General features: G+C 34.2%; 1 protein-coding gene and 1 long non-coding RNA gene across 7 annotated transcripts in view, besides 1 other annotated feature; one reads left to right on the top strand and one right to left on the bottom strand.

Moving 5' to 3' along the window:
• Nucleotides 1-12,768, bottom strand: part of LOC105377982 (uncharacterized) — a 51,063-nt gene extending 38,295 nt beyond the window's left edge. The window contains exons 1-2 of the long non-coding RNA XR_001743833.2: nucleotides 10,579-12,768; nucleotides 521-581 (exon numbers count right to left, since the gene is read on the bottom strand). This is a non-coding gene — a long non-coding RNA (uncharacterized LOC105377982). The remainder of the gene's footprint in view (nucleotides 1-520; nucleotides 582-10,578) is intronic.
• TRDN (triadin) overlaps nucleotides 1-21,828 on the top strand; it is a 420,612-nt gene that overhangs the window by 104,764 nt on the left and 294,020 nt on the right. For 5 of the 6 annotated variants that reach the window (NM_006073.4, NM_001407315.1, NM_001251987.2 and 2 more), the window contains exons 5-7: nucleotides 1,622-1,681; nucleotides 15,981-16,046; nucleotides 19,825-19,884. In NM_006073.4, coding sequence (NP_006064.2) covers nucleotides 1,622-1,681; nucleotides 15,981-16,046; nucleotides 19,825-19,884 — 186 coding nt within the window. Of the gene's footprint in view, nucleotides 1-1,621; nucleotides 1,682-2,893; nucleotides 3,512-15,980; nucleotides 16,047-19,824; nucleotides 19,885-21,828 lie in introns of those variants that run through there. The other variant, NM_001256022.2, reaches the window with a different exon arrangement.
• Nucleotides 2,356-2,556: a silencer, noted in NCBI's record as "peak6087 fragment used in MPRA reporter construct". NCBI's record gives its function as "represses an SCP1 promoter by STARR-seq MPRAs in K562 erythroleukemia cells {active_cell/tissue: K562}" and the evidence as "EXISTENCE:reporter gene assay evidence [ECO:0000049][PMID:32103011]".

Raw genomic sequence — 21,828 nt, 5'->3', positions numbered from 1 at the left:
AATCTAGTGTATATTTTATACTTACAGCACATCTCAATTTGGATTAACCATATATCATGTCCTTAATATGCACAAATGTCTAGTGGCTACTGCATTGGATAGTATAGGTCTAGACAGTGATAGTGATTACTCTGGTTATCATGTAAGTTTAGAGCAGTGGTTCTCAACTAGGATTCATTTTGCCCTGTAGGAGACATTTGGCAAAGTCTCTGGACATGTTTCATTGTCAAGATTGGGAGGTGGATATGGGGGCTACTGGCATCTAAAAGGTAGAGGCTAGGAATGCTGCTGAATATCCTAAAATGCACAAAATAGCCCCTCCCCAAAATAATGCTTCACCCAATTCAGAATGTCAAAAGTGCTAATGTAAGAAACCCTGCTGTAGAGTAAAATTTGGAGACTAGAGAAGAAATAAACAAAATGGTGAGAGAGACAGGAAGATGGGCATTTCCTATGTCATTTGGAGATATTTCCTTACATTTTGGAGAATTGTTTTCAGGGACAAGAATGAGTGCCTTACCTGTTCATATCTTCATCACCATATTCAAAGTCACAGTTGAGATAAGAGTAGATTAGTGACCCTGTAAATAGTAAGATAACTGATTAATGAGAAAAATTAGGAAGAAAACCTTCACAATGGTGGTTACCTCCTTAACAGGTGAATGAAAGCTAGTAGCTGTCTTTTCTGAAGATATTTAGGGTGTTGCCATGGTTGATCTTAATTTAGTAGACTTTTGGAAAAACTACAAAAATGCAAATGCAGATTTACAAATGGAGAATTTAAAATGTGTACAGTAATTAACACCATCTCAGACCATCTGTGGAATAAAGTTGTGATAAATAAATAAGTAAACCTCATTAGCATTTTTCTAAGAAAAAACACTATATTTAAGATTAAGTCACTTTTCAAAGGTAGCAATCATATTTGTAAACTCTAATCTCAAATTCACTTCTATCCAAATTAACTGTAAATTCAGAATTAACTCCATTTTCTTAGCCTTGGTAATGTATGTATACTGAAGCTAGCAGAAAATTGAATATATTTGCTAAAACCTGATGTTTAGAAAAAAAGTACAACTAACTTATTCTATGAAATGTGTCATATCTGCTTGCAGTAATTATTGGTTAAATGTAATGCCAAATGCTGATTATAAACATAGCTTAGAGTCAATACTTCTGAAATATATTTCCTATTAGATAGTTGTTACAGTTCATTTCACAAATTCTTAATTTAATATGTAAAAACTAAATCTTCCTAAATCTAAATGACATTCTTATTAAGGATTCTTAATTTGTATTGAGAGTAATTGAAATAAAAATAATTATAGTTTGTGACCAATTTTAGCACTGAAAATGGTGACAACATAGCTCTGTCTATTAAATGTTTAAGCTTTTCCAAATAACTCTAATTTTGAGATAACTCCAATTTTTCCCTTATTTCAATAAATAAGTGATTTGTTTAGCAATATGTTACAAAGACTCTTTTAGACTCCAATAAACTTGTTAGTAACTGTATAATAATTTAAACTTTGTGGTAGGTTTATAAAGTTTAGGTCATAGCTATGGCTTAAATTTTATACATTTTCAGAGTTTTAAAATTATAAATTCTATTTTTTCTTAGAAATACACAAAGATAAGACTGAAAAACAAGAGAAACCTGAAAGGAAAATACAAACTAAAGGTAAACATTTCATTTTATGTTTATTCTTCATTTAGATATACATTTTTGTGTATTCATATGCGAGAAAAAATTTCATGTTTAGTGTTTTTGTAACATTTTTGATATTAAATAACTAAATTTACTCCTCAGTTAATTTCAGTTATAAATGTATATCAGTTAATTTCAGTTATAAATGTATAAATAACATAAATAATATTTAATAGATGGAATCAAAGTAACTTCAAAATGTGTAATAATTTTTAAATTATTTACAATTACTAAGAGAGTAGCTCAAATACATATTGATTTACTGAGGAAATAATTTTTTTTCTTTTAAGAAGTTAGTGTAACAAGTCAGAGTTTATTTTTTTTTAACCTGAATTCCTTCTGTCATGCAATATCTTTACAATCTTTGGTGTAGAAATGCAGAGTCATTATATGACCTCATGGCAGAGGTCATGTAAGAAAGCCCCACGGCTCTCCTGCACAGCCTCAAGAGGTAGATGGACAGTGACAGCATGATGATTAATATCACTTTCAGCTGAACTGAATCCAGTAATGGCAATCTTGCAGCAGAAGCAAATTAAGAAAGGCCAGCATTGTCTTGCTTATCTTATAAGAATAACTTTTCTGTGGGTGACAGAGATAGTCATAAAACTTTAAAGAAACTAATAGGAAGCAAGACATTCAAAAATATATTCTTCTAAGCGTGCCCAGGTTTTCCCAATGGTCAGTTTCACATGATTTTGAATGAGCCAGGGCAAAAATAAAGATCTCATAATAACTATATTTGTATAATGCAGACAGAAAATGAGATAATTTATTTCTGAGATAAAAATGGAATTTTATCCAGTATTTACTATGTCATAAACCAGCTAATGCAAAATTATCTGTAGTAAATACCACAGTTGCAGCTAGTAAATTTTCAAATAATAAAAGTATCAATTAAATTATACTAGCACGTGAATTTATATTAATACAATGCCATGTTGTTGCTGTTGTTTTTAAAATATACTTCATGTGCTTTCTTTTTGGGAAGGGCTCAAATCATTCTACAGATATTATGTCTTTAATCCTAATGTTTGAATTCATTCTAGATTGGTCAGCCAATTCTTCAACAATCAGAACATTGAAGCTCACTCAGTTGAAACCTATTTATATTTGTACTTAGGAAACTAATGTCTCCTTACTGTTCTCTTTCCTTTTTTCGGTTCTTAATTCCTTTGATCACAGAAGTTGGACACAGCTCTTGAGTACGGATTGACTAAGCGAACCATGACTGAACTGGCTCTGTGTTTCTATCTGCTGAAGGTTAAACAGAAACTCAACTGGTTCCACACCATTTGGGTCCCTGCTGTTTTTTTCTTGCAGACTGTGCTATTAATTTAATAACAGTGCTGCTGGAGTGGCGGTAGTAATGTAGATGGCACCATTTGCATTTTGGACCTGGCTATATTAGAATTCTGATGTCAAAGACCGAGCAGTGGGCTGTAGAGTAGGTTTATTAAACTAGCAAGTCTTCCATAATTAAGACAGTGAATTTGGCTGAAGTCTAAAATAAATTTCTCAAAGACTGAGCTGGAGATTATCAACCTGAATATATTTCTTGAGTAGACCAAATATGTTTTGTAAAAGTAACTATTTCTTAAGAAAGTGAAAGTAGAGCTTCAGTTGCTCCACACTGAGCTGGAAATCAGAGAGAGCTTATGTTTTCCACAGTTTTTCTGTGTGAATATGAACAAAAGATTTCACTTTATTGCTTAGTTTCCCGTCTGTAAATGGGGTAGACTAATGCCTGCTCTTTATTCTCAAATAGTTCAGTGAAAATAAATGTTTTGCTTTACAACTGCTCTTGTATGTGGATAAATACTGTTTTCTGTATGCCATGTTCCATGTCAGTTATGGTTGTATGTGATGGATAGTTAGGAATTTAAGTTATTATCAAAGCATTTTGAACCCTTAGAAGAAAAGATACAGTATTTGAAAGGTAGTAGTAGTCTGTGATGATTATAAATGAGTCAATAAATATCTGAGACCAAAAAGATTCATTATGCTCAAGCTGGTGTGTTTTGTGGGATGACAAAAGATATTCGTTATGGTGGAAGCTAGATCACATTCTATTTCTCTATAGTTTTTTTCCCCTTCAAGGGACAATATGATATTCTGAAAGGTTTTAGAAGCATGGAACTCATCGGGAGAGCCTTGGGAGTCTACACCTATATAATTGACCCATCAAGAAGGATGCAAAAAAAAAATCACACAGAATATGTAATCCCACAGGATATATATTTCTAAAACAATTCTATATTAATATTCTAACTAATTGATTTTATAGTGTCAAATAATGAGTTTCAATTCTGACTCTTTTTCTTAAGAAATTAGATACTTTTATAGGCAACCACATTAAATAATTTTACTTTATCATATCAAGCTAACTTTTATTTCTACTTTGTCCCTCTGTTTATTTTGTTCGATATTTTCCTCAGGGAAGAATGCAGCAGTTTATGGAGCTAAAGAATATGCCTTTTAAATGATAACCAGGCAATGAATACTTATTATGTTTTTAGGACACAAGCTCTGACATGTTAGTTAAGGTTTACCTTAAACTAAGTTAACCTTGGATTTTTTCCCATAAAAGAGGTAGAAATTTATTTTATTTTATAAATATAATCAGAATACTGTATGTGACCTTGTATTGGTCACATACAGTACCTCATAAAAGAGGTAGAAATTTATTTTATTTTATAAATATAATCAGAATACTGTATGTGACCTTGTTCTGAATTTATATAGTAATATAGCGGAACATTACATTTGCTTAGAAAAAACTTCCAACCATAATTTAACATTTTTTGGGTTACCACATATCATTAACTAAATTGTGACTCATATAAATGGCCCCTGGGGAACAGGCAGAATGAGTTAACCACAATGGAGTAGTTTTGAGTACCAAGCAGAGTGCTCTAGTACAAGTTACCTCCAAGAACGCTGATTCCACATTAGGGTGATGGTTTCAAATTAAAGTTTTTATAGGTCAAAATGATCTTGCGGAATATAATCATATTTAAAACTATATCCAACAATGGATACCCATGGTCCACATGTTGAATGATAAGAAATGTTAACCAGTCTTCTCTAGCAGTCAACAGTCTGAGTTTCCTTTGTAATCATAAATAACTCTGCCCACAGATGTTTTAAATAAAAAGATATATACAGACTAACTTCAAAGAATTAAAGAGAATGTTATTTGTCATAAATAAAAGGTCCAAGTCATGATTATTAAAGAACATTTCCTTTACCCGTGGTAAATACTCAGATATTCTAATTAATAAATAAACTAAAGCATGGTGTGTGATTTTCATAAAGGGTGATGTTACCATAACCTTTTTCTACTTTTAGAAAGGTCTTTAATTAAATTATCTGGGTTAGAATCCAAATTTGGTAACTTCTGGCTATGTGTCCTTGGGCAAGATAATTAATCTTTCTTTGCCTTTATTTCATCATCTGTAAAATGGGGATAATAGAGTTGTCATAAGAATTAAATAATTATGAAATGTACTTGTAAAATTCTTAAAATAATTATTGACTAATTTTAAACAGTAACTATCAGTTAATTAATTAATCATCTTAACCACCTCTAACTGGATGAGAGTCCCTTACAGTTTTCTTATCTGAATTCCTTTTTTCTCTATCTTTAGTATCATTTGATATCTGTCTCATCATAGGCTGAACAAATATAAGATGTGTCATCCCAAGTTCCTGTAACAACCCTAAACTACTTTTACTGCCTTGTCAGTTCTATATTTGTGTTTCCCTTCTTAAAAATTTAATATTGTATGAGTGTTTATCTACTATGGATGAAATACTGTATATAATTTTTTATGTCTAATATTTCACTTAATCTTCATAGAACAATCTAACACAGTAGATATAATTCCATTTAAACTAAGAATACGTAGGTTTACCTGGATTCAATCATTGTGTCAAGTTTAGTAATTTGTAGAGCCACATTTTTGCCTGTTATCTCTAACGTAAGAACATGTGGCTTTTCCAGTATATCCTATATCCAATTTTCTTTCTTCTTTTTGTTCTTTGGTGCCTGCTGAGTCTGTAGCACCAGAATTTGCTCATAGCCATAGGATCTAGAATTTGTCTCTGAAACCCTGTGGTTAGAACCTTGCTTCCTGCTGGTTGACCTCACTGATCTGCTTGCATTTGTACATATCTATCAGTTCCTAGATACCATCTCTGTTCTCTTCCCATCAGTCTGTGTGCCACGTAGCCTGATGTGGGCTTACCTAATTCTAATAGCTTACCTGTATAGTAGACACCATATAAAGATGCATAGACTGTATGCATCTTTAAATCCCCTTTCTACTATTTTCAGTCTTAACACAACTGAGAAATGAGATGTGGCAGTACTTATCTTGGTAGATGTGTCAGATGGCTTGTCATAGGTGTACTAGTTTTCTGTGGCTGCTGTAACAAATTACCACAAACTGGGCCCACCTGAATAATCCAAGATAATCTCACCATCTCAAGATCCTTGACTTAATCACATTGCAAAGTCCATATATATATGTAACATTCGCAGATTCCAGAGACTAGGATATAGTTATACTTTAGAGGGCCATTATTTGGCCTATTCCACTGTCTTTTCAATAAATAAACTTCAAATCACCAGATCTAATTACTTAAACAGCATCGTGGAGTCAAAGGATTACTTAAAGGCCCCATTTAGAAAGAAGTCTTGACAAGCATGCATGCCAGTCAGTCAGAGTTTAGAGGGACTGATAATTAAATATAAAAATACAAGTTTTTTTTAAAAAACTTTTAGATTCAAGGGATACATGTGCATGTTTGTTACTTGGGTATGTTTCATAATGATGGGGATTGAGCTCTTCTAGTGTGTCCATCACCCAAATATTCAACATAATACTCAATAGGTAATTTTTCAAGCCTCAGTTCCCATTCCAATCTCCCCATTTTTTGAGATCCCTAGTGTCTGTTATTTCCGTCTTTATGTCTATGTGTAGCAATTGTAAGTGAGAACATGCAATATTTGATTTTCTATTTCTGAGTTAGTTCACTTAGGATAATGGCCTCCCGCTCTATCCATGTTGCTGCAGAGGACATAATTCCATTCTTTTTTATGACTGAATAGTATTCCATGGTGTATATATACCACATTTTCTTTACCCAATCAGCCACTGATGGACACTTATGTTTGGTTCCATGACTTTGCCACTGCGAATAGTGCTGTGATGAACATGTGAGTGCAGGTGTCTTTTTTATATAATGATTTTTTTTCATTTGAGCAGATACCTCATAGTGGCATTGCTGGGTCAAATGGTAGTTTTATTTTTACTTCTTTAAGATATCCCCATACTGTTTTCCATAGAGGTCGAATGAATTTACATCTCCATTAACAGTGTATAAGTGTTCTCTATTTTATGCATCCATGACATCTGTTGTTTTTGACTTTTTAATAGTAACCATTCTGAATGATGTAAGATGATATCTCAATGTGGTTGTGAGTTGCATTTCTCTGATGGTTACTGATGTTAAGCAATTTTTCATGTTTGTGAATAGAAAGATAAAAGTATTTAAAGATAGAAACCACAAAATGGCAAATATTACCAAGTTTACAGTTCATGGTAGAAAAATAGCAGCATTATCACAAAGACTTTTGTATATCTTCAGGTATCAGCATAGCAAAAGTAAGATGTAAAGTTACTATGCTTATGGAACTCAGGTTTATGAACATTTCTGAAATTTCAAAATTTCATTATTTGAGAGATCAGAACAAATCAGAATAACTACTATTTTTGCTTTTTCCTTAGGCAGCAAGATGAGTTCTTTTGTTTTTTGGTGGTATTAAAATTTTGTTTTGTTTTTGTTTTGCTTTTCTTACTATATGTGAAGAGCTTAGTCACCTTGACAATAGGACACAGTTTGTGTATGGCCAATGTAGTGCCATCATTCCCTTAAGATATAAATTCCTCATTAAAAATGCATCTTTAATGTGCACATATCTTAAATAAAATCTTAAGAATGTCATGAATATCCTGAGTATTTTCTTAATTGGATAATCCCTTAGCATTCTATTTAAGCCATCAACTAATTTAGGAGCCCAAGTGGTTAATTAATTTTGATATTTGAAAAGGCTGAAAGTATAGAATATAAAGTCTCTGAGCCTTCTTATAAAATTCCCACCTGACTTTACACAGGTAACTAACAGACTTCTTTCATCTAATGTATTCAAGCCCATATTAACATCTATTGCAGAAAATGTCTGCACCTGTCTGTATTCTTTGTCCTAATGACTGACATCACTGTCCACCCAAATTATTCATGCTAAACATCTAGAAGCCATTGTTGCCAGGGGTGGTACTCAACCCTGACTGCACTTTAGATCACCAGGATAGCTTTTAAATATGTATCTATGTGCGTACTCCAGCCTGGAGCCATTAATGTTTGAGAAGTAATGCCAGGGTTTGGGCCTAGCTGCCCTAATGATTCAAATGAGTAGCCAGGGTTAGAATCACTGTCTGTTGAACTCATGGCTTAGAGTTCAAATATATCCCACAGTGGTTTCTTTTGACGAGCCAGTGTTTTAGATAATGAGTAACTGGATGCCTTTAAGTGGGGCCTGCACCCTCTGTTTACGACAGTCTCCACCACTCCCTCTTTCACCACTGGGGTACCTGTTAATTTACCTGTCTCATCTATGAAGGCATTTGAATTTTAGTTCCTGCCATAGACTTCTTGTTCTCTTTCAACACCAAAGCTTGTCCCTGCCATAGACCTTTTTGTCTCTTTCAGCAGTAGAGCTCAACCCTACTTAGCTCCTCCGTACTATAATTTAGTCTACTTTCTCTCTTCTCCAACTGCTATCTTCTCCACAATCATCTCTCAATTAAATTGTGACAGTCACTTCTTAACTGATTTCCCAGCATTAACCCCTCAGGTCCATGCTAATCCAGTCACTTACGGGCTTAAATCCATTTGTTGGTGCCCCAGTGCTAAGAGATAAAAGTGACATTTTCCAACCTGGCATATGATCACTGCTACCCCTACAGCGTTCCAGCTTCGTAGTTTATCATGTCTTCCCTGTTCTGCTACCTCCTTACCAAGCTTTCTCACAGATACAGCCTCCTCCTCCCTGCCACCCTTAGCACTCCAGACCCCACTGATGCCCCCTGTACTGCAGGCAGGCTGAGCTGTTGAGTAGTCCCTGAACAGGCATTGTCACTGTCTCATAACTGTGCACTTTTTTTGTATGCTCTCTTCTCTCCAGCCATCAAGCCCTTCCTGTGTAGTCCCTTGGCAAAAGCCTGCTTATTTCTTTGATTCTCATACGGAGTGTCAGTTCCTTTAAGAAGTCCCCACTGCTGTTCTTCACTGGGGGCATTTAAGCACTTTGTCCATGCTGTTCCACCCCAGCTTTTGCTCTTCCAAGCACTTTGACAACATATTTTAATTGTGGGTATATGTCGATCTAACTAACTGAGGGAGGGAACTATGTTTGTCTTCATGTATGTTCTAGGGCAGCCTTGCCACTCCCTTTTATGATTCTGTTTTGTTATCCATGAACAAAGGGATATGGGCTCATAGTCTTCTCAGGTTTTCACCAGCTCTGAATTTGTATGCTTATATCAAATTAAAAATCATTCTAACATCTAACAGTACCCAACACACTCAATAAATACTGAAATAACGATTTAATTTGTGAACGAAGTATTCTTCTGTTTTGTTAATCTCTACTGGATTCCTACAGACAACTTTGCATTTGACATTCCTACAGACAACTTTCCATTTAGCTTTAATTAAGCCACTGTAATTTAAGTCAAATGTCTGTGGTTAGTGGCAACAAACAATTTCATACTAAAACAAAAACTTTCTGTAATATGTAATCTGAAAACACCCACACTGAAACAACTAAAATTATAATAGTACAGATAAATATGGATGATTTGGAAAATGCAAAAAAAAAAAAAAAAAAAAAAGAGGAACCGCACCCCCACAATCCAATTAACTGGAGAAAAATAGTAATGTATTTCTAATTTTCCTCTGGCTTTCCCCCCCCATGTAGTTGTTTGTTTATTGTATATTGCCTTATTTTTTTGCAATTGTGAATTTTATTGGTGATATTAGATAAGATTTCGGCTTCTATTTAACTAATAGACATGTCAATTTACTTGTAGAACAGAACAAATCAGAAAAGACAGGAACCCAGTGGTAAATATATAACTAAATATGTGAACTTTTTCCAAGAAGGCTCCTAGACAATAGGATGGCCCGGTAGGCGGCAGAACAGTAGGTTTCTGCTACATCCACCTGTATTGTCAGGTGGTTGGGTGAAAAAGTGACCTCAGAAATGGAGAAGTTTACTTAACAGAAATGTATACTGGAGAGACAGCATATGGTCAGCTTCAGAGTGGGCTAGACAGCGGGAATAGGGTGTATTCTGGCAGGCAGATAGTGTAAATGGAAAAAGTGGTCACAGCCACTAGGTGATAATACACATTCACTTATTCACAGTACCTACTTTGTGCCAAACACCATACTGGGCACTACAAATTCCATGATGAATAAGATCCAGTTAATGATAAATTTGAAAAAGTAAATACACAATTATACCACGTGTAGTAAGTACTTCACAGAGATGTCCTCGAGGAGAGATGTAGTTTGGGGTTTGGCAACCTCAGTTGTTGAGTAAGTCTGTCTGCAGTTTTCTGGAAGGACCTCAGAGGAATTAGTGGTTTTTGGTTCAGGTGTGGACTCTGAAGCTTAACAGGGAAGACACAAAAGCTAAGCTGACATCAGTCCTCAGGGAACCAGGTGGGAACTTGGTTCAAGGGCTGCAACAGAAGTCTAATTATTACTATTATTCTTAACATTAGCCTTAATATTACCTTATTGAGGCTGGAAGTCCAAAGTCAAGGTTTCCACAGGATGAGTTTTTTTCTGAGGGCTGTGACGAAGAATCTGTTCCATGCCTCTCTCCTGGCCTCTGGAGGTTTGCGGGCAAGCTTTGGGGCCTTGTAGATGAAGTTCTCCAATTCCTGCCTTCATCTTCAAATGATGCTCTCCCTGTGTCTCTGTCTTTTCACAGGATATGCATTCCCTCTGTGCATATCCTTCTCTGGACCCAAATTTCTCTTTTTATAAGGACATCAGTCCTATTGGATTAGGGACTAGCCTCATGACTTAAACTTGGATTGTCTCTGTAAAAACCTTATTTCCAAATAAAGTCACATTCTTAGGCTCTGGGGCTAATGACTTCAACATATATTTTTGGGGAGACACAATTCAACCCATAACAATATCATATGCACAAAAAACAAAGGATTGTTTTTAAAAAGGGTGATTCAGAATAATAACACTGATTTGTCTAGAACTCCTTCAGTTTTTGGGAAACAATTGCAGGATTGGAGTCATAGGCTGACAAGGGATTTAGCTGATGGTGAGGCTCAAAAGTCAAAATGCAATCAAATACATTAAAATATATTTAAATATCCTGAAGCCCTTTATAAAAATGCTCTTAAAGCCCACAAATTCATTTAGTCTTCCTGTACTGTATAAACTTTTATTTTTGTCTTCTCTTAGCTGCACTTCATTAACTCCTTAAAGTACAAAATATATTTTCTTTCCCTCTCTGGCAATCATGAAAAATAAACCTGGACAAGGAAACCAGAAGAGTGTGCACAAAGCTATGCATCACAGTGTCCATAGTGAATGTTCACTTATGAGAAAGCGATTACAGTTCTTACTATGGCTATGTAGCCCCAGGAGAAGGGGAAATTGTCCATACATTTAAATTGAATTTGAAAATAAAACTAATATTTTAGAATTATAAAATATCTTTTGTGATTTAACGCGTAAGTATCAGATTAGCTTTACAACTTTGGGTAATTTGCCTGATCTTCACTTTAATAGGTAAATGAAAGTACTTTTATTATGAAAAAGAAGTATGTGCATTATTGGAAGGTAGATCACAGATAATGTGCTTGGAGAATTCGGTCAGCACATTTTGGCTTATGAGAACAAGTTTATAGTCTGCACAGAACCTGGAACAGACATGGCTGCGTAGTTTTGAAGGAGAGTCCTGGTTTAGCAATTAGATAACTACATTCTTTTCCTGGTCTGTCACGGACTCTTATGAGCATATTTTCTTATCCACAGACAAAGAAGTTCAGGGTAGTTACTTCTTATATTCCTATCAGCTCTGAAATTGCATGCTTATATTAAAGTTAAAATAATAAATTCTTCCTTTAGGAAAAATGGATAATATAATATTTAAGAAGATTTTTAACTCAATATTGCATTTCTATTAAGTTCATGATTTTCTCTTAAAAAGCATAGAGATCATCTTGCCTTACCACAGAACTGAACTTCTACAAATTAGCTACCAAAAATAAAAAAGAAACATACACACAAAGACATACACACTAACCAAGAGATCTGGCCTTATTGTTTAATGGTGGCTGAAACAGAATTTTTTTAAGGGTTTAAAATGAATGTGTATCATGCTCTTTCATAAAACATTACAAATTAAAATATAGATATATATGAATTTTATGAAGCTGTTTGAAATGTTCACCTACTTAAAGTCTATAGAGTATTTTAGCACTAATACCTAACAAAAAAGCACAAGAAATGTGAAAATGAGAGGAATTAGTTAAAAGAAAAATCAGTAAAATTTATTACAGGTAATGATGCTCCTCAAAGATTTTTTCTGTTAATAATGAAAAGATATAATGCTTACCTGATTATCCATCTGATTTTTTTTTTTTGGTTGGGTACTCAAGATTAGTCCTATGCAGTAGTCTAAAGTCAAGTATGTTCTAGAGTTTGGTTGAATTGATTTGCTAGCCATCAATTGAAGAATGTAGTAGCCTATACAAATCAGTACTTTACAAATTTTGGCATTACAATTTTTGATTTTCAACCTAAGAACAGGACGATTAAGTAAAGAACTCTGATAACCTGGCTCCCATGATTTGACCCCAAGGGAGTGTTTTCCCTGTTTAAAAAAAAAAAAAAAAAACCACAGGGTCAGGCAGATTATGAGCTCTGATATACTTGAGAAAAAGACATAGTCTGCCTGGTGACTGCCAGGGTCAAAAACAAAAACACAGAGCACAGCTTGGGGAGGGCTGGAAAGGGGCCAGATGGGAGGGTGAGAGATGTGCTTGGGTCCAGTTGAGCTGAATGTTCTGGTCAGGGAAAGGTCAGAGTCTGGGCAAGGGCAGGAACAGCAGGCCCATGCCAACTCAGATGCCAGACATCAGGGCCATTCCAACTGGTGGATTCCATTTGTTTTTAATTATCAGCATACCGAAGGGACTTTTGTTTCTTGTAAATAAGGATGACAAACAAATTAAACTCTAGCAGGTGCAAGAAGCTTATTCTGTCCTGAGCTAAAAACTGTCCTGGCTAAGATATAACTTGCCAAATAGGGCTGGTGACAAGGAGGTACTCTTCTTCCATATGAAAACTCCTGGTTGTGGGCTCTAAGCAGAGACGCTCAAGCGAATGCAGCTGCTCTATAGGTGATTTTTATTTTAGAGTGATTACCAAGGCAGTTGCTGATTGTTGCATTGCTGTGTTGAAAGTCATTTCAAAACTTGGTATTTGAGCACAGTCTTGCCAAAGTTTGAAGTTTCTGTCCAAGGAGCTTCAGTGGCTGTCTGCCATTATGAACAGCTCCCTAGGGCCCAAGGGTCCAGCTGCTTCACTAAGAAGTGTTGTGATGCCATTTCTGAGGGGGATAATAAAATGCTAGCATACAGTACAGGGTCTGTAAATCAACACTTCAACTGGGAGGAACTGGATTTCTCCCTAGGGTAACAGGAATGAGGCATTAATATGCTAATTTCAGTCCGAATTCAGTCCCTTTGCTCTTTTGATTTTGTGTTAATTCTCCCATTTATGCCTTTGCACACGTCAATCTGAAAATCCTTTAGTGGAATGGACAACCAGCTGTCCAAGGTGGGTGAGTCCTCATTCCTTACAGAGACAGAGACACAGATTAGGTGTTCCCCTGTGGGTCTTTCCAATCAGGGCTCTGAAAGCACAGCTTATCTCACACAAACTTGGTTCCCCCTCAGAGAAACTTTAAAAGACGCTTTGTTTTTGCCAAGATTTTCTCTTGGTTTTCTGCTTAATTAATAGGGATTCAAAGGAACCAAAATAAACCATTTGTGGTCAGTATGAATAGTGATTTCCTTGCCTTATTTTGTGAGCTATTTATATTGAACTGAGTAGCGAATAAACAACTAAAAGAACCATTAAATGTGGAAAAAAATAATATCTCAATGTTTTAAGGTGAGTTTTTTTCTCCTTTTTCTCATTAGGTTTTGATTATTTGAGAAATTTCAATAAATTGTCAAAAGTTTCACATAATTGGAAGCAAGCAGTGTCTATTATAGCTCTACCACATCATCATCCATAAATAGAATTTAACTAGACGATAAAACTAGCTCTTAACATATTTTAGAATTTCACTTATTCAAAAATATTACAGAGTCCACTATGTGACTGAGACCTTGTGATGACTTGGAAATGTAAAAAAATAAAATAAATATGATGTAGCCCCTAAGGATTTCATTTACTGAGTAGAGATATTAACAATATCAATATTATTATTGAATTGCTGAAATATAATTATGTACATGGTGCAATTGGTGAATGGAATAAATAGAGATCAAAGAAAATGTTACAGAGAAGGAGGCATTTGAACCAAGAGGAAAGAGTGCATGGAATAGGGAAAGGAAAACGAATGAATGTGGGTGTGGTAATTCTAGGTGGAAGACACATACAGGCAGAGACATAAAGGCATCATGAGGGCATGTGGTGTGCTTGTGGAGCTACTAGCATTTAGTTATAATGAGAATATAAAGTTCAAGGAGAAATTCTTTGTAGATGACATTGGGTTGGTAAACATGGGGTTGGTAAGAAAATGTCAGATCACTAGAGCAGTAAAATATTTTTATTTTGATATAGCACCCACTATGTGACAGATACCATACTAAGCAGTGAGGAGGCACTAATATTTGTAACAGAGGAGTCAATGATATCGAATTTTCATGTTAGAAAGGTTAATATGAGACATAAAAATATAAAATCTAAAGGTTCAAAAGAGAAGTCAGGGTATTATAATATTATGATAGGTATAATAATATGCCCAAAAGAGACATCCTGCTTCAACTTCTGAACTGGAAATTGGTCTCTTCCCCTTTTCCCTCCTAATCTCTTACTAGGCTAATTTCTTCTCATTTCTCATACTCTTAAATGTCATTTCTGCCAAGGGCTCTTCCCCTAACAAACAGATTAGATTAGGTCATTTCATACATCAACATTCCACCTTACATATTTTCTTCATAGCAGTTCGACTCCCTGCAGTTACCCACCTTTGTAATTATTTGCTTAGCATCCACTAGTCATTAGCTTATTGACATCATGGCGACAGGAATGAACTCTATCTTGTTGAGGAGAGTCTTTAGCACATAGCAAGTGTTCTTTCTATATTCTTGTATAAATAAATGATAGTTAGGGAAAATAATATTGGATAAAAGAAAATGAGGAAGAGGAATATCAAAAAGACATGATTGAAAGAGCGTGGTGAATGAATGAAAAGGAAAAATATAAGAGAAAGACAAATTGGGATGAGTCTCATGTTTCTAGCATGGATAATGAATAAGAATTATGACTAAGGTATGGGGTAAGATTATGACTTAAATTTTAGTCCTGTTGTAATAATTGATGAGATCACTGCTCATATTAAATTAAATTTTATTTTTGTTGGAAAGATTTGGTATTTTATAGTCTTATTCCAGTATATTTTTTAAAACATTTAGTGTAGAATGTTTCTGTAGACGATTAACACATACTGTTTAAGTTGATAGTTCTTTGCTTCAAGATCAGAAAATTATGTCTCTATATTTTCATCCTCATATTTCAAGCATTCATCCAATATCAAAGCCGGGCTCCTTTGGCATATGGCATAATAATTTTTTAAAATTTTCCAATTATTTCAATTAAAGATTTGGAAAAGCTGACGGGGGTATTCTTATCTTTGCAATCAGACTTGGTTTGGGTACTAGTTTGTGCTTGGATATGAAATAAAATAGAAATAGGAAATAAATCTGTAATTATCTTGAAGTTTAAACCTCTAACTACATAAAATCTGAATCCAGTTAAAGAAAGATTTCTAAAAACAGAAGATAAATTTTGACATCAAAGACTGCCGTGCAAACATCTCCTCATTTATTCCTGTTATTTAAATGAAAACTATTTATCTGTTTCTTTTCAGTTACACACAAAGAAAAAGAAAAAGGAAAAGAAAAAGTAAGAGAAAAAGAAAAACCTGAAAAGAAAGGTATGAAGTTACTTTTATTACTGTTTAACACACTGAGTCCTTTCCCATTGACTTCCTACTCTTTACATTCAGATTTTAGATGACCACGCAGTTTTACAAATTAGATTAGGATTATTTTCTCAGAATAGAATCTGAAAAAAGGAATTTCTGGATTGAGAGAAATAAAATACTTCAGACTGTTAAGAACTGTTGAACTGGAAAGTGGTAACTTTCCAGAAATGTTGCGTCAGTTTTTCCTCTGGCAGTTTTGAGACTGCCTTAGCCAGCAGTGAGGATATTATATCAGAAATACTTGTCAGTTTGATAGGTAAGAAAGTAGATCTCATTATTATAACTTGCATATTTTGATTATCTATTAGATTGCTTTAATTTCTAATTGTTATTTATTTATGTAGAATAGATAATAAGTTCTAATTGCTCAACACATAAAGATACTTTGTGAAAACCTTCCTCTCACCTTGCTCCCAGCCTACTGGCTCCCATTTCATGCCAAACCCACATACAGTAGACCACTCATGTGAATTTTACATGCATCCTTCCAGAGCTTTATTGTATGTTTTCCAGATAATCCATGTTATTTTCCTCCCTATTTTTACACAAAATCTAGTATGTCCTATAATCTGACTTTTACAATTTAACAATATATCCTGAAATCTTCTCATATCACTAAATATTGTCCTCATTCTCTTTAAAAAGCTGCATAGTGTTTAAATGAGAATGTTCTTCCACTGTATTTTTTCCTGATAATCTAGTTAATTGTTAAAGTTAATTTAATTTTTATTTTATTCATTAAGTTCTTCATTTCTAGGATTTCTGTTTGGGTCTTTCTTATGATATCTATCTCTTTACTGAATTTCACATTCAGATCATGAATTATTTTTCTCCTTCCTTTGTATTTTTTATTTGTGTTCTCTTTTTTTCTCTCTGAGTTTCCTTAAGATTATTATTTTGAAAGGCATTTCATAGATTTCCCTTTTTTGGAGGCCTGTTACTGGCGTGTTATTGTGTTCCTTTGAAGGTGTCATGTTTTCTTAGTTTTTCTTTCTTTTTTTTAAATTTTACTTTAAGTTCTGGGATACATGTCCAGGTTTGTTACATAGGTATACATGTGCCATGGTGGTTTGCTGCACCTATCAACCTGTCATCTAGGTTTTAAGCCTTGCGTGCATTAGGTATTTGTCCTAATGCTCTCCCTCCCCTTGCCCCCAAACCCCTGACAAGCCCCAGTGTGTGATGTTACCCCCGAGTCCATGTGTTCTCATTGTTCACTCCCACTTATGAGTGAGAACATGCAGTGTTTGGTTTTCTGTTCCTGTGTTAGTTTGCTGAGAATGATGGCTTCCAGCTTCATCCATGTCTCTGCAAAGTATTTTTAACTGCTTACTATTTATAAGTTGAAAGATTCAAATATGGTTTTTAGCAATGTATATATCATGTGTAACTGTTCACACTCACTGCCCATTTCTCCTAATGATATGTGTGTGTGTGTGTGTGTGTGTGTGTGTGTGTTTTGGGTATGTATACCCTTCATCTATAACTTATTTTCAAATATTTTTCTGAATTTGTTTCACAGTTAATATTATGCTTTCTGTCTTTGTGAACGGACATGTGTGAGTTCATGTATGTATGTATGCATGTGTGCATATGTTTAGATTCTTGAATTTTTAGGTGGTTAGATATGCTGACATTTTCTTGTGGTCTTTCTGGCTTTGAATCTTCATTCAAGAATTAATTCAATAGCCACCAATATTTTCCTCAAGTTTAAAAAAGATTGTTTTTTTGTTTTGAGACAGAGTCTCACTCTGCCACCCAGACTGAAGTGCAGTGGTGCAATCTTGGCTCACTGCAACCTCTGCCTCTGGGGTTCAAGAGATTCTCATGCCTCAGCATGAGAACTACAGACATGTGCCACCACACCCAGCTAATTTTTGTGTTTTTAGTAGAGATGGGTTTTTGCCATGTTGGCCAGGCTGGTCTCATACTCCTGAACTCAAGTGATCTGCTCACCTCAGCCTCCCAAAGTGCTGGGATTACAGGTGTGAGCCACAGCACCCATCCAAAAAAGATTGTTTCACATTTTAAATTTAACTTTAATTCCTCAAAAATCCATCTCAGTGTATGATACGAAGTAAGATTCTAACTTAATTTTTGCCATTGTTTTAGGGTGGATTGTGTCTAGGATAGCTGGGCCAGATTTCAGCTGATTTATGCATCCAGAGTATGCATAGTCTGCTGAAGTTTTTTGTTTTGTTAAACACTCCAGTTAGGTAGAACACATTATGACATTTAGGAATCAGATAAGTTGAAATATGCTTCAATATTTTTTATGGTATATTTACACTTGAAAATACCAAAATCTCACCAATCACCACTAAAAAGCTTACTCATGTAACCAAATACCACCTGGACCCCAATAACCTACAGAAAAAAAAGAAAATTTCAGTTAAATAATTGTTATTTTCTTCATGTTTATTTTCTTATTTTCTTATCTTATTTTCTTCATGTTCAATTTCCATGAACTTCAATATAGCCATCTCCTTTCTCTGTTCTAGAAATAGGTAACCATTTCTTGTCTGATATTGGGTTAAGCAGAATTATTAGCACTAGGCTCTGTGTATTCTGACTCAATGAAATAATCTGCTATTTCTTGTGATTTTTTTTCCAAACTTTACAGTAGCTAAATGTTTTCTGTTAAAAAAAAAGTTAGGAATTTTTGCCCTTAAATTATAAGTGCTGCAGAAAAAAATGTATTCAAATTGAAAAGCAGAAATAAAATGCTGCATTGTAAGTGCTCTTTTATTTACCTTATGCCAATTAAAGGATGTTTGCTTTTTAGGAGATATGTTATTATAATGTAGTCCTGTGACCTTGTTTGAATAGTGCCTTGCTTAGCCTAGCATAATGCTCCTTTTGTTAACATTGTCTAATCTATTACCCATAATCCCAAGTGGTAGTGGAGGTACCTGTGGGCAGGCCTGAGTGGTGGAGAGGCTGAAACTCTGGAGGAGGAGGCACCTGGTCTCTCAGCAGCTCTGCATGTGTTAGGGACACTTGCTCTTCAACTGAATATTAGGCTTTCTGAGGCTTAAATCATCTCTCCAAGATTCTGGAGGACACTGTTTATCAACTGTATTTAAAAATAATGGATTTTTAAATACATATTTTAAGCATTTCTTAATGATGTAAGTAAAGCTGATGTACATTATTACTATTCTTGTTGGAAGTAGGAGAAATGGAAATATGTGGAACTAATTTTTTCCTCTAACAAATCAGTGCATACACTTTGTTAACTGCCCAATTAAATCTCATATTTTACTACTTAATTTTCGTAGTTTAATTACCATTGTTATTCTTGAAAAAATAGTATGTAAATATTGAAAAATGTATGATGATTTGGGAAACTACCAAACAACACAATTTAATATAATTCAAATTTAAAAATACACATAATGACATATTTTTTGACAAATTCTTATAGAAAATTTTCCCTTTCAGTTTGTCTTCCCTGAAAGCTTTACCTGTTTGAAATAATGACTTGAGAAAGAGTAGATCTGATTTTCAACAAGCTTGCTAAGTCTTAATGCCTAGACTTTAACATTGAATTCAATACAACTGTTATTACACTGGTAACTCTTTATTTCTGAATTAGACTTATTAATGTCATACATTTTCAAAATATTACAGATTAGGTTTTAGCACTTATGAAACTGAGGTCAAAAGAAAGCTTGGTTTTGAAATCTATTAAAAATGTGTACTAATGTAAAATTTTCTGTTTAAGCAACTCACAAGGAAAAAATTGAGAAAAAAGAAAAACCAGAAACAAAGACACTGGCGAAAGGTAACTTTTCAATTTATTATTTCCATAACTAAATTCTTTTTACTCTGAAAGATTAATTTTTGGGTAACAGATAGTTGGATATTTGTAAACTTTTATCATTTATATTAAAAAGTTAATTTGGTCTTACCTTTAAAATTTAATATCTAAAAGAATAATTAAACTGAACACTTAATAGAGAATCTCATAATGTGAGAGGAAAATGAAGAGCTCCATCATATGTGGTAGACAGAATTTTGAGCCCCATAACCCTCATTCACCCCTTGGTGTCATCCCTATGGCTATGTTATATTACATGGCAAAAAAAAAAAAAAAATTGCAGAGGCAGTGAAGATTGTTCTAAAATAGGGAGGTTATCCTGGATTATCCAGGTGGGCTCAATGTAATATCATGAGTCTTTAAATGTAGACAGATTCAGCAGAGAACAAAGAGATTTGAAGTATGAGTACTTTTGCCCATTGGCTGTCTTGAAAACGTGAGAAGAATATGAATTCTGCCTCCAAGTTCAATAAGCATTAAAGCCAATTCTTTCCTCTAGCCTCTAGTAAAACACAAAGCCTAGGTGACAACTTGATTTCAGCCTCGTGGGCCCTAAGCAGAGAATTCAGTAGAGCCATGCTGAGCCAACACTTTGGAATCATAAAAACTGGAAGATAATAAATGGGTGTTATTTTAAGTGGCTAAGTTTGTTTTAATTTGTTACCACAGCAATAAAAAAACTAAAATAACATATTTGGTTCACAATTTTTGACCAGTATTATACCTTGAATTTGATTTTAAAATCTCAAATTCAGAATTTTCTTTTTAAAAAATTATTTATTTTCAATATTTATAGGTACATAGTTGTTGTACATATTTATGGGGTACATGTGATGTTTTGATACAAGCATATAATATATAATGATCAAATCAGGGTAATTGGGATGTCCATCACCTCAAACATTTATTATTTCTTTGCATTGGGAACATTCCAAATTCACTCTCTAGTTATTTTAAAATATACAATAAATTATTGTTAACTATAGTCATTCTATTTTGCTACTGAGCACCAATAACATATATTGAGGAAAGGACAGTCTCTTCAATAAATTTTACTAGGAAAACTGTATATGTAGAAGAATGAAACTAGACCTCTATCTCTCACCATATACAAAAATCAAATCAAACTGAATTAAAGACTTAAACGTAAGACCTGAAACTATGAAACTACTTGAAGAAAACATTGGGGAAACACTTTAGGACATTGGTATGGACAAAGATTTCTTGAGTAAGACCTCAAAAGCATAGGTAACCAAAGCAAAAATAGACAAATAGACAACTTCTGCACCATAAATGATTTTCTTGCATCAAAAAGAAATAATTGGCTGGGCACAGTGGCTCACCTCTGTAATACCAGCACTCTGGGAGGCCGAGGCCGGTGAATCACTTGAGGTCAGGAATTCAAAACCAGCCTGGACAACATGGTGAAATCCTGTCTCTAGTAAAAATTAAAAAATTAGCCAGGTGTGGTGGCACACACTTGTAATCCCAGCTACTCAGAAGGCTGAGACAGGAGAATACCTTGAAACCTGGACGCAGAGGTTGCAGTGAGCTGAGATTGCGCCACTGCACTCCGGCCTGGGCAACAGAGTGAGACTGTCTAAATAAAAAAAAAAAAAAAAAAGTGGTCATGCATAAATCTTGATCAATATTTTTACTTTAAAAGTTTGAGAACTGAAAGTACCATAATAATATGCCAAATATATTTATTAGTATATCACTTTAATATTAGATATTTTGGCATATTGAATAACAAAGTTTTTCTGTATTAAATTTATCTGCCAATTACTAGAAAAAATGGATTTTATTTGGTAATTTAATCTTATTCCCTACATTTAAATTTCTTCCTTATCTTTTAAAATATACATTTTAGGCAATTAGCTAGAAGCCTCAATTCAGTATTTTTAA

This window comes from Homo sapiens, chromosome 6, assembly GCF_000001405.40.
Source record: "Homo sapiens chromosome 6, GRCh38.p14 Primary Assembly".
Lineage (NCBI taxonomy): Eukaryota > Metazoa > Chordata > Mammalia > Primates > Hominidae > Homo > Homo sapiens.
The sequence above is the reverse complement of the archived record's forward strand: the minus strand, read 5'-3'. Positions and strand labels throughout refer to the sequence as shown.